At 39.3% G+C, this 12,973-nt stretch overlaps 1 long non-coding RNA gene across 1 annotated transcript in view, besides 2 other annotated features; it reads left to right on the forward strand.

Moving 5' to 3' along the window:
• Positions 1 to 2,468: 2,468 nt before the first annotated feature.
• The window catches only part of LINC02015 (long intergenic non-protein coding RNA 2015), an 82,360-nt gene continuing 71,855 nt past the window's right edge, over positions 2,469 to 12,973 (forward strand). The window contains exon 1 of the long non-coding RNA NR_110826.1: positions 2,469 to 2,600. This is a non-coding gene — a long non-coding RNA (long intergenic non-protein coding RNA 2015). The remainder of the gene's footprint in view (positions 2,601 to 12,973) is intronic.
• Positions 11,544 to 12,044: an enhancer, noted in NCBI's record as "H3K4me1 hESC enhancer chr3:177543728-177544228 (GRCh37/hg19 assembly coordinates)". NCBI's record gives its function as "activates a minimal SCP1, AML or CMV promoter by ChIP-STARR-seq in primed H9 embryonic stem cells {active_cell/tissue: H9 hESC(primed)}" and the evidence as "EXISTENCE:reporter gene assay evidence [ECO:0000049][PMID:30033119]".
• Positions 12,045 to 12,545: an enhancer, noted in NCBI's record as "H3K4me1 hESC enhancer chr3:177544229-177544729 (GRCh37/hg19 assembly coordinates)". NCBI's record gives its function as "activates a minimal SCP1, AML or CMV promoter by ChIP-STARR-seq in primed H9 embryonic stem cells {active_cell/tissue: H9 hESC(primed)}" and the evidence as "EXISTENCE:reporter gene assay evidence [ECO:0000049][PMID:30033119]".

Here is a 12,973-nt window from a genome sequence, read left to right on the forward strand (position 1 = left end):
TTAAATGTGTAGGCATCAAATAAAAGAACTTCATAATTCCTGAAGTAAAAATCTGGCATAACTTTAGGAAAATACATATAAATCTAGAATTTCAGTTAGATGTTCTAGAAATCTCTCAGTAATTTTGTCTGCTCATTGACAGAATAAGCAGACAAAAAATTGAGGAAGACTATATATACAGAATATCTGAACATCACCAACTGCCTGAACCTAATCACTATTGACAGAACACTGTACCTGATAATTGCAGAGTGCACATTCCTTCCAGTACTCATGGACTATTCACCTAGATCATATTCCGGACCTTAATAGGAATCTCAATCAATTTGAAAAGACTAAAATCTTACAGAGTATGTTCCCTGACCGCAGTATAACTGAATTAGGAATCAATAACAAAATGATCTCAAGGAAACTTTCATATATTTGGAAATTAACAACACACTTCCAAATAACCCATAGATCAAAGAAGTACTTATAAGAGAAGTCAGAAAATATTTTGAACTAAATGATAATAAAAGCACAAAATATCAATATTTGTGAGATGTAGCTAAAACCATTCTTAGAAGAAAATTTGTAGAAGAAAACACTAACAAAGGAAGAAAAATAGTCACTTTCTGGTGCTCAATAAATTATTAGTTTTTAATCATTATTAATAGTATCATATACATAGCAAACTTAGTTTAGACAAATTTACAAAACGTGTGTGTCAGGGTAATGTTACCTATGGCATTCGTTATCAACAATTACCTCTTAAATTTGGCAAGGAATTTCATTAACATAGATTCCATTTCCTAGTGAAAGAGAAGAGCAAAGCATCTGCAGCTTAAAGACCTGGTTCCATCTTCTTCTTCTGCCATTTACTACTGTTCTGACTTTCTCTCTCTTGGTGGCAACTTTCTCAACTGTAGTGGAAAAAATGATATCTGCCTAATCTATGTCACAAAGTCACTCTAGAAAATAGAATGCCATATGAAAACGGACTTAGTGCCAAAAACAGTTAAGGCAATTATTCTTACTCATGAAGGAAGCTAGAGAGTGTTCCTGCTTCTTTTATATATTGCTTGTTTCACTGACGCTATCATTCTCTCTGATTTTTATATGTGGCCTTGAACTCAACAAAGGTTTATATTAAAGATCTTCTATGTAAATAATTGCAAAATTAGACCAGAAGAGAAACTAATGGGCAACTATGGCGTTAGAAGCTTGAACCACTTTCACAGCCTGCAACACCTGTTGAGTCACGTTCATGCTCCTAGGTGTAACATTCAGGGTCTCCATCACCTGGTTTCTCTCTGTTCTCCGGCCTCATTTTAACCTACTTAGCTCTAAAACTTTTAGACTGTTTCATGCCTTTGAATATTTAATCATGCAGTACCCACTGCCTTGAATGTTTTGCAAACTTTTTTTTTTTTAACTTGAAAAACCTGCTATGATTCCCTCTAGTTCTAGTTCCAGGCATCATCTTCCCCAGGAAGCTTTTCCCTAATCTCCTTAGGAGTTAAGGGCCCCTTCCTTCTACCCCCACAGAATCCTGCACAAAATACTGTCTTATAACCCCTGATATTGTGTTGTATTTTCTGTGTAGGAGTCTGTCTCATCACCCAGACTCTTGAGTTACACAAGGGAAGGACATGTTTTATTCATTTTTGTAGATTTAGTACAAAAGAGTACATTATAATAGGGTGCCTAGTGCATATTAAGAAATCAATAAATATCCATTACTTTCTTTAAAAAAAAATGAATTGCTTACACTTATAAATCTATTGAAAGTATCATGGCAAGAAGCAAAGCTCTTAAAAACCATAAAGAAATTATGAATTTTTCAGGGTTTTTGGAATGTGGTTGCCACTTAACATTCAAACTATTAATAAAATACTAATGTGGGTATAAACTGAAAACTCAGGTGTGTTTTTCTTTAAATAAATTTGGTGCAAGGAAATCTGTGATTATGTTGTTAAAATTGAGAATTAGAAAGCGGTTCTTCATTTAATGAAGAAGACTTTCTTTATACAAAATAAGCCATAAGATTAAATGGTGAACTGCTTGTGGACATTAAATTGACTAAAAAAGAGGTTTAAATTCCCATACAAGGAATACGTGATATGCACTAACTTATGTATATCTATATCTTAATAGAATGTGTTGGGCACGTCTACAAGATTTTCCTTAAAATGTAGAAGAAGCCTAGAGTATAATATTTAAGAAAGATTACATATTATTCCAGTTAAAACTTTCAAATTAGGATTGATTGCCAAGACTACTTCAACTCATGTGGGGAAATTGGAGGAGTGTTTTGACGGGGGAAAAGACAAAACAGAAAATGCCAGAGCCCAAAATAAGTTCCCCAGAGAAGCTGGGAGTCTTTGCCTTGATTGGATACAGACTGGGAACTTTCTCATTGCTTTGGAATTTGGGCTAACGTCCAAAACTGAGGGTAACCTGTGACAATTGCATTGCACATTCTGAAGAAAGGTACTTAGACATGTTCCCCACAGGATGTGTTAAGGTGTTGGCCAATCATCAAATATTGTCACTCCAAAGAACACATTTAACAGCCGGGAAGAAAATTGTAGGAAAAGAGAGCACTTTGGCACGGAAGGGTAAGCTGCTATGTGACTTCGTCTTGATCCAAGAGAGGAAATTGAGAGAAAACCCTCTGGAGCAAAGGTGGTGAGGACAGAGAGGCTCACTAGTGGGGAATACTGCCATCTTACAGAGTTCGAGAAATTTCCTCAGAGAGTTTGAAGGGTGCCCTCTAGAGCAGGACTTTGCAAACTTTCTGTGATAAAGGACCAACCTGTTTCAATTTCCAGTCCATCATGGAGTGACAGGTTTATAGATTTACTAGAACTGAATTTTTAGAAAAATGAAATGGAAACAATGTTCAGAGGTTACATACTCTGTATTGTAACATCAAATTGCTATAAAAATTTCTGAACAGTACTCTTAATTCCTGCACTTATTTTGTCATGAACTGGTAACAGACTGTTAAGAATCAACATGAGTGCTGAGACCTCAGAATAAGTACCTCTATCCTACATCAGAACTTCACCCAGAGATCTGGTTAAAATGACAATTCTGAGCACTACTGCCAGTCCAAGCTCTCTGCTACTAAGAGGCTCCTGGGCGATGCCAGTGCTCTGGTCGGGGGCATTCTTTGTGTCCAAGGCTCTAGAGAAGTGCAGGCCGATAGAAATATGATGTGAGCCACACATGTAATTTATTTTTTAGTAGCCTATTTAAAAAACAGGGAAAGGAAATGGGTGATTAATTTTACTAATACATTTTATTTAAGCCAATATATCCAAAATATTATCACGTGGTTGATATAAAAATTAGTGATGAGACATCTTGCTCTGTGTGTGCGTGTGTGTGTGTGTGTGTGTGTGTTTTAATACTAAAGCTTTGAGATCTCAATTTGGACTGGCACATTTCAAGTGTTCAATGGACACATGTGGTTAATGGCTTCAGTGTTTAGCCAGGCAGTGCTTGAATGTGGGCAGCACAGGGCCTGGTGCCTGACTCTGCAGGAGAAATCACAGGTATGAGGTGGCTGAAGATGCGCAGCATGACAGAGTGAGGCCAAAAGGCAGCAGTGCTTGAAGTTTGAGAACATGATGGGGGAGGATGTGTTCATTTTCCTGCAGGACAAGTAGCACTGTGCAAGTTAGTGCAAGTTATTTGAAGGGCCTCCCACCATTTCACAGCAAGAGGGGTGCATGCTGGAATGAAGGAATCCCAAGCACCTTCTGGTACAGGAGTCAAGGTTCTTACAAAAGATTAACGAGAGAGTGTTTTGAATGCATCAGGAAATGTTAAATGTATGAGTCCCTGAAAGGGTCTCCAAAGAATTAACAGAGGTACTTCATGAAAAAGACTTCTTGGAACATCTGTCCTACACAGGGCATTTGACAACAAAGAAAGACACAAATGCACTTGAGCTGGGGAGGAAAAACATTGATTTCAAGAATAAATTGAAGTTTTGGTATCTGATTGGGTTAGAGTTTTTTGATTCCTGAAAATAAGTTCTATAGTACTTGAAAGTAAACAGAAAGTCGTGGATCTGCCCAAGAGGTCGTTGAGGGGAGAAGAAAACTCTGACGGTAGTTTTGAGAAAGGTTGTGGAGAGAGACTGAATTTTTTTTTGTCCAATTTGATTTATTAAATCGACCATCATCTGTGTGAGCTCGTGTTGCAAAAATGACAACACAGATCATTTAAATGCTTTGTCGTTCACATCTCTACTCGGCAGCCTGACGCTGACAACACTGCCAGGCACATGAAGCAATCCCTCCAAGATACATTTCAGATATTAATGTTTTGGTATTGTTAAATCATATTATTTTTATTTCTATAAATTTATCTTGTTCCCCATGTTAATGGCAGAAAGTTTCAAGTTAAAATCAAGGGTAAACACATTGGCTTAGGACTCTGTCTTCTTCTGAAAGGCCTAAGCCAGGAAGGTGGATACAATTGAAGGAAGCCAAGAGAAATTGGTTAGCCTGCTACTGGCTGCAAAGAATAGAATCCCAGAGGCCAAGTATCTAAAATGACAATAGTAACTTCTCCCATAGCTAAGACTCACGTAGGGTGAATCTCATGGCTGGTTGATACTGTGACTCAATGACATTTAGGTTTTTACACAAAATATTTCTTCACTCTGCTATCTTTTGAGCTAGTTTCCTCTTTAGAATGGTAGCAAGAAGGCTATGCCAGATCTAAGCAGTATACTTATGGGCAATAATACCCAGGAGAAGAAAGAGTCACTTCTCAGGCTTCTCTTTCTCTCTCTCACTCTTTTTTTTTTTTTTTTTTTTTGAGAAGGAATCTCTCTCTGTCGCCCAGGCTGGAGTGCAGTGGTGCAATCTCAGCTCACTGCAACCTCCACCCACTGGGTTCAAGCAATTCTCCTGCCTCAGCCTCCCAAGTAGCTGGGATTACAGGAACATGCCGCCACGCCTGGCTAATTTTTTGTATTTTAGTAGAGACGGGGTTTCACCATATTGGCCAGCCTGGTCTTGAACTCCTGACCTCAAGTGATCCTCCCGCCTTGGCCTTCCAAAGTGCTGGGATTACAGGCATGAGCCACTGCACCTGGCCGCTTCTCTCTTTTTCTCAAATTTTTCTGACAGCCTCTCCCCCTGTCTCATTGTCCACAGTTAGATCACATGTCCATTCCTGAATTAATTACTGCAAGGGAAATAGAGACCAACGAGTAAATCTATATTCCAATGAGACTACCCCTGGAGTTGAGGTTCATGACTATGAGAAGGAAAGATGGATATGTGGACAAAATTAGATTCTATTAAAAAAAGAAAGAAGAGGCAATGAATGTCAGGTAAGCACCAATACTATTCACCAAATATCCTATGTAGGTTTCTAATCCAAGTAAAAGCATGCTTCCAATGGATAGAGATCTACCACATACTCTATGACAAACGTCTAAGCCAAACCAGGTTGTCCATGTGAACACAAACCTATTACTGAAACTGCTTCCTGGATAATATCACATTAAATTAAAACTTGGATCATGAAAAGGCTTTTGCAAAGACACAGTATTTCAGTGGAGGGACTTCGTAAAACAAACAAACAAACAAACAAACAAAAACCACAAAGTTCTCCCAGATACTCAACTGAGTTAATCTTGCATTGGATGTCCACATTTAATGTGTCACATTGGAGTCTTAAAGTACCTTCTGCTAGTTGTGTCAGAATTTTGCTTCAGAGTAGGATATAAAAAGAAAAAATATCTTCTTATAAATGTGATTGTTTTTCTGCCTTTGTTATAAATGAAAAGTTATGAACGTTTCAAGATGTACTTTCTTTTTAAGCAGTTAACTGTCAGTTTACTGTAGCTGGGCCCTGAGACAGAGATAAAGTCTTTATAAAACCTAAAACAATTTTAGAAGATTATTCAAACTTGTGGGTTTTTACACATATTTTTCCAGCATTAATTTGTTTCTATTTTTCTTGGAGCCGTAATGTATGGTTCTTGCTTTTCCAGTACACTACCTGAGTATAACAGTATGGTTAGAAGTTTCATTCTAACAGATCTGTTATTCTACATGGTGATAGCAATGGTTAATGCCAGACTAGTCTCCATACAAATAGTACTTGAGGAAAATTTTCTCTTCTTTCATTGGTAGTTTATATTAATATTCTTCACCTTGAATGCCAAATTTAGAAAAAAAGAGAAACCTCAGAAGAAAGACACTGTTTTCTCCCTTTTCTTAGGATACATATTTTGCTCCATAGTTTTTCTTGGTCAAATGGTTTTCTTTTAAGTTCTCTTCTCCATCTTTCTTTCTTGTTTACTCCAGGAATGCAAACTTGATCTTGACTTTAAGGTCAAAGCATTTTCAGAATGTGCAGTCAGCAGAGAATTGAAAAAAAAAATCAATGTGAAACATATTAGAGAAGAATAAGGGGAAGAGTGATGCAGAAGTGCTGGGAAGTCATGCAGGGATTGGAAACCACAAAGATTCTACAGAAAGTAAGAACGTCCTGCACCGAGATGTTTATGATTCCTTTTGCTTTTACTTCCCTTTTCTTACATAGGGGTAGGTGAAAATTATGGTAATTTGAGGTCTGGACCACTTTCAAAGCATTTTCAGGGGATGAAAATGACTTTTGACCTCTAAAAATGAGACATGTTTCTTTTTTTTTTTTTCCTGAAACCCTTTTTTCTTTTCCTGTTTTGTTCATGGTAGGGGAGATGACTATATTCCATACCTGTTATGCACACAAACTTAGAAGGGTTTATTGCAGCTCCATGGCTGAAAATAGCAATGAAAATTGTGAGACCTTTTATGTCAGCATTGGAAATAAACTTAATTTTAAATGAGAACACCTTTGATTTTATAAAGAGACTTATCCAGTGTAAAAGCTGGAAAGTTAAATAGAATCATAGTGGAAATGTTGATTCTAAAATTCTAGTATCTAGCCACAGACCTTGAAAAGAAGAAAGAAAGCTAGAAAGATGAAAGAAAGAAAGAAGAGGCCGGGCGTGGTGGCTCACGCCTGTAATCCCAGCACTTTGGGAGGCCGAGGCGGGTGGATCACGAGGTCAGGAGATTGAGACCATCCTGGCTAATATGGTGAAACCCCGCCTCTACTAAAAAATACAAAAACAAAAACAAAAACAAAAACAAAAAAAACAATTAGCCAGGCGTGGTGGTGGGCGCCTGTAGTCCCAGCTACTCGGGAGGCTGAGGCAGGAGAATGGCGTGAACCTGGAAGGCGGAGCTTGCAGTGAGCTGAGATCGCACCACTGCACTCCAGCCTGGGCAACAGAGCGAGACTCTGTCTCAGAAAAAGAAAAAAAGAAAGAAGAAAAGATCAATTGTCCTTTATGACAAGGATTATCATCTCTTTCCTTATTTATCATTGGACTCGAGAACAAATTAGATATAGAAAAAAATCCCATTACTTTGTGAAGCTTAATATTTACTGTAACTTACTGATCTAGAGAATGATCAGAGAAAATTTTAACTTTTATATATGTATACATATTCTGTATGTATATGTAAATGTGAAAAGACAAACAGGTTCTTAATCATCTTTCCATATGGCTGATTTAAAGTAATTATAAAGCCAAAACATTACTGAGTTATCTGGAAAATATGAAATGTTCTCTCAAACATTAACTATATTAATATTAATATAATCAAAGATTAATATTAACTATATGGCAAATTTTCTAAAAATCTAACTAATCTAAACATTTGCACTGGGGATAGACAGAACTGTCTTATTACAGATTTCTAGACATATATATTATAGATGATTATGTTTAGAATAAAGCATTTGTTAGGTAACATTCTTTCACTGTTTGTTACTTTTGCACTGACCTCACATACTTAAATTTTATAACAGCACAACAAGAATGTGCTGAGAACAGAGCTTGGCATAAGCTCATTGATAACCGTGAGTGTGAATTACTGGCAGAAATAGATATTGATGATTTAGTCCGTATCACAGTGGAAAGGGAGGAAAATTGAAAAGCTTTTTTTTCACTCTTTAGAAACATTTGAAATCATTCCTTGGAAAAGAAAAATCTATATTAGGGGCTGAGTAGGGGAAGATACAGGTTGAGTCATTAATTTGATCAGTACAGTAAGTTCAAAGATTGTTTCCACTACAACATCTCATCTGAAATTTTACAGATTCCCTTAAAGGGGGCCAAAAAAAAAAAAAAAAAGATAGTGATTTCTAAGCTGAATCAAATATGTGCACTTTACTTCATGGAAAATCAGTAGGGAAACAAGAAAGATTCTCTCTGCTAACATCGATTTTCCTTATATTTATTTTTTCAGTCGGAACACTCTAGGCAAAAATTCACTTGGCTTCAACTAATTTGCAAATGCCATCATTCACTGCTGTTTTGCTACCCATTTCTCAAATCTCAATTAAATGTGATGACAGTTTACTTGCCAGAAACACACAGAAAGGTTCTTTTCCAACCAGAGGTCTTCACTCATTTCCTGCTTGTGGACTTGGCAAGTGGGGTCAAAACATCCATTACTGAGGCTGAATCTTAATTTAGAAGGTTATCACCAGAGTCAGCAAAATAATTATAAAAATACTTTCCAAATGCAAACTGCAATAGACATGCACAGTAACAGCTGAAAACAATATATACATCATAAAGCCTGTTTACAATGGAATTTTAAAAGGGTGAATGTTTGGTTTGTACTTGTTGAAAGCTTGTATAACTCACTCCTAGGATGGACCCGAAACTGTCTTCTCTCTGCAACTATTCTTTACATTAAAACCAAAAATAACAACAAAAAATTACGCTACAAGTCTTGATGTTCTGGCTCAGACACCAAATTCCCTATAAAACTAAAAGTGAAGGGTGAGGTGAGACAAAATTTTGGCTTAAAGAAACACCAGTTGAGAAATGAAAGAAAGTACTGCTCACTTTTCCCTTATTTCTTCTATGTAAATAAGTTTCCTCATACAATTTATATAGTATTGCTTTAAATATATGGGATCTTTAGAAATCATAGAATGTTAAAAATATCAATATGTGTAAATGGGTACTCACTTCACATAATAGGTACTCAATAAATATTAGCTACAAAAGATAAAAACAAACTATAAGACATCTTTGTAGAGACAATTTGCTCAACCTTCTTCTCTCTCCCTTTTTTTTTTTCTTTTTGAGATAGAATTTCACTCTTGTTGCCCAGGCTGGAGTGCAATGGCATGATCTTGGCTCACTGCAACCTCCGCCTCCCAGGTTCAAGTGATTCTCCTGCCTCAGCCCCCGAGTAGTTGGGATTACAGGCATGCACCATCATGCCCGGCTAATTTTGTATTTTTAGTAGAGACAGGGTTTCTCCATGTTGGCGAGACTGGTCTCGAACTCCCAGCCTCAGGTGATTGGCCCCCCTCGGCCTCGCAAAGTGCTGGGATTACAGGTGCGAGTCCCTGCACCCGACCAACCCTCCTATTTATAGCTGAAGAACTGAGGGCTAAGTGGTTGAAAGACTTGCACAGCTCCTACACTGGCCTGCTGAAAGCCAGGGCTGCAACGCATTTCTTCTCACAGGTTCAGAGACTCCTGTACCTCATCACTGTTACAGAACCTCTCTGGGCCTCAGTTCATCATTTGATAACAAGAGTAACTCAACCTGCCCAGGGGTTATCCATCAAAGGCAATCGAGGTTGCAAGAATTCCTTTAAAATTTTAATTTACAGTATAGCACCTTGCAGGTAGCAGGCACTCCATAAATCTCTGAGGAATGGAATTTGCTGAAGAACAGTGGCAAAGGCTAGCTCTGATTCATTCCCCAAAGCTCATGGTGCTTGTCCAAACTGTTTAATCAGGCTTATGCAACCAACTCCTCTGACCTTTATTACGGGGTGGGTGCAATCACATGCGCTGTGGGAGGAGGGGCAGGTGGCCTCGGCCTGATCAGGGAGCACTAGAATGGGGACAACATTTTCTATTGTTCAGAAACTAAAAGGACTCTGCTTGACCCCAGTGTAAGCCTTTCACTGCAGTAGTTGGGAGCCAAGCTTTCTCTTCCAACCTATCTGTCCTGGCGATCTTCATTTTCTCTGTTTTTTTCCTAAGACAGAAATATCAGCTAGAAGGCATTTCCCTCACTGGATTCATCCAGCCCTGATGTGAGAGTGCTGGGGGCAGACTGAGATCATGTGTGATGCCTGTCAGGCTGCCTGCCAGGCCATGTATATTGTTTTGGTGGACTGGCTTCTGCAGGAACATAGAGAAGACATGGGAATAGATTCTGAAAAGGGGGGTGGGGGACAGGAAAAAATGCCAAAAGCCCACTTAATACTGAAAAGTCTTACACTTCCAAGTCCTTGTTACTGCTGGCCAGAGAATGGGTTGTTGCCCTGTGTTTTTTTTTTTTTTTTTTTTTTTCCCCAGGAAAGCTGCCACGGCTTTTCTTTATTCAATAAGTACATGACTGCATTTGGTGAATTGTGTTTACACGTTCTGGTGAAATGAGATTTTAAAAAGAAAATGAATCAGGGAGTGTTTTTAAAGAGCACAGAGTGAGGAGAGGAGGTGGGGAGCGCTGCTGCCAGTCCTGTTCTGTTCTCTGCCTTTTGTCATCCTTCCCCCTCTGTATCTCTCTCCTCCATCTTCTCCTCCAAGGAATCACTATGCTCCTGGCAGGACATCCCTGGCGTCTGTCAGGGGAGAGAAGGAGGAGGAGAAATAGGAGAAGGAGAAGAGAAGAAAAAACAAAAGAGAAGAAAAGAACATCACAATTGACGTTGGAGAGTGATCTGTGCTAGGAGGAGTTCATCTCTGCACTTCCCCATTGGAATGACAGTCTCAACTTTACCCCAACTAGCCCCCCACCTTACATGAGCTGTAGGATCGACGTCGAATCTCTTGGCCTCTCTGAGCCTCAGTTTCCTCAGCTATTAGATGAGGATAATACCTGTACTGTTTTTGCCAGAGTGGTTGTAAGAAAGAAATGAGAAGCTTACGAAACCATAAAGCATGATGCCAGTCAAAAACATATAGTGATTTATATCTTAAAAAGATTTATTAGTCCTGGCACGGTGGCTCACACCTGTAATCCCAGCACTTTGGGAGGCCGAGGCGGGGAGATCACGAGGTCAGGAGATCGAGACCATCCTGGCTAACACGGTGAAACCCCATCTCTACTAAAAATACAAAAAATTAGCCAGGCCTGGGGGCACATGCCTGTAGTCCCAGCTACTCAGGAGGCTGAGGCAGGAGAATGGCTTGAACCTGGGAGGTGGTGGTTGCAGTGAGCCAAGATTGCACCAATGCACTCCAGCCTGGGTGACAGAGAGATACTCCGTCTCAAAAAAAAAAAATTATTAATATTCATTATTTATTTTAGAGACAGAGTCTCGCTCTGTCGCCCAGGCTGGAGTGCAGTACGATCACAGCTCACAGCAGCCTCAAACTCCTGGGCTCCAGCGATCTTCCTGCCTCAGCCTCCTGAGGAGCTGGGACTCTAGGCATGTGCCACCACCCCCAGCTAATTTTTTTTTTCTTTTAAGATATGGGGTCTCACTGTTTTGCCCAGGCTGGTCTTGAGCTCCTGGCCTCAAGTGATCCCTCTACTTTTACTCTCAAAGCACTGGGATTACAGGCATGAGCCACCATACCTGGCCTAAAAATATACAGTAATTTATAATTTTATTTCTATTTTCTCTTACAGGATAATTTATAAATTGAGTGTGTTTAGATTTCCCCAGCATATGGGCTCAGGTGATTTCACATTTAGAGTTAAACCTGAATTTTGCAGTCGATAAAAGAACATTTTGTTGGCTGTAAGCTCAGCTCATTCACACAGGCATGTCTATCCCTGCAAAGTTCATCCCTGATGCTTCTGTGGGCCCCAAGTGGTAACTTTATGTGCCTTCACAGATCCAGTTGAGGGCTCCCCTCACCAGTGCCCTTGCTGCTTCCCCAGCCTCCACCTTGCTGAAGAGCAGACCTGACCTCGCAGCTGAGCTTCAAAGCGCTCAGTGCTCACGGCTCACAAGCTGGCAGTCCTTTGGGAAGTGAGAAGGGAAGGGCTTCCTGGCTGTGCAGTTACACCCGGTTAAGTGGACCCCTCGGTGGTACTGGGGAGCACGGCGTAGCTCATGCCTACGACACTCGTGGGGCAGGGGCACTGAGGCAGCACCAGGACCAGCTGGTGTTCCTGACCCCTCTTGCTCCTCCTGCTCAGCCTTATGGTTGAGACTGGCTTGTCAGGCCTACCTCCGTCCTCTCTAGAACACTTTCTCACAGAGATTTAGCCAAATTCTCTTGGCACCTTGGTTGCTTTCTCTCCATGCCATTCCCAGTCCCCTATTCGTTCCCGCATAGATCTAATCCCCAACTGGGAATACATCTTGCAATTTTTTAGAAGATTCCTCATCTACCATGTAAATCACCAGATGAATAGAAACACCATAATGGACAGCAGTTTCTTCTAAAGCCAAAGCCAGGTATTCCTGGATTTCCGTTCCAGGCTGGTTGGGACTGTCTCCCCTCACCTCATTCACACTTTTTATGGTGAAATCTCCTGTGAATGGCATCATAATTGGCCCTTTACAGTCAAACAGAAGAACAGAAATCTTTTAAGTAATCTCCCAGATAATTGTCTTTTATTTTTCCAATACCTATTATACCTGGGAGTCACTATATATTTAAGGTGATGGAGATTTAAAATAGGGAATATGAGAAAGCTTAATATCCTTTTATGTCACTGAAGAAATAACAAAAGTTAAATCTCTAGTTGATGAATTATGAAGTAGCTGGTTCCTTATGAAACAGGATTCATAGGATTTAAAATAAATTTTTGTAGTTGGCAGAACTTTTATTTTTATGTGTCTCCTAGCATATGACTTCAGCAACACATAAACCCTTCTTTCCATTTTTCTTAAAATTCTAAGTAGTTCATTCACTTTATCATGTCTGTATTGTTCAATGTTAGCCCTATATAAGATGGTAAGTACAGTC

The sequence above is a fragment of the Homo sapiens genome, chromosome 3, assembly GCF_000001405.40.
Source record: "Homo sapiens chromosome 3, GRCh38.p14 Primary Assembly".
Taxonomy (NCBI): domain Eukaryota; kingdom Metazoa; phylum Chordata; class Mammalia; order Primates; family Hominidae; genus Homo; species Homo sapiens.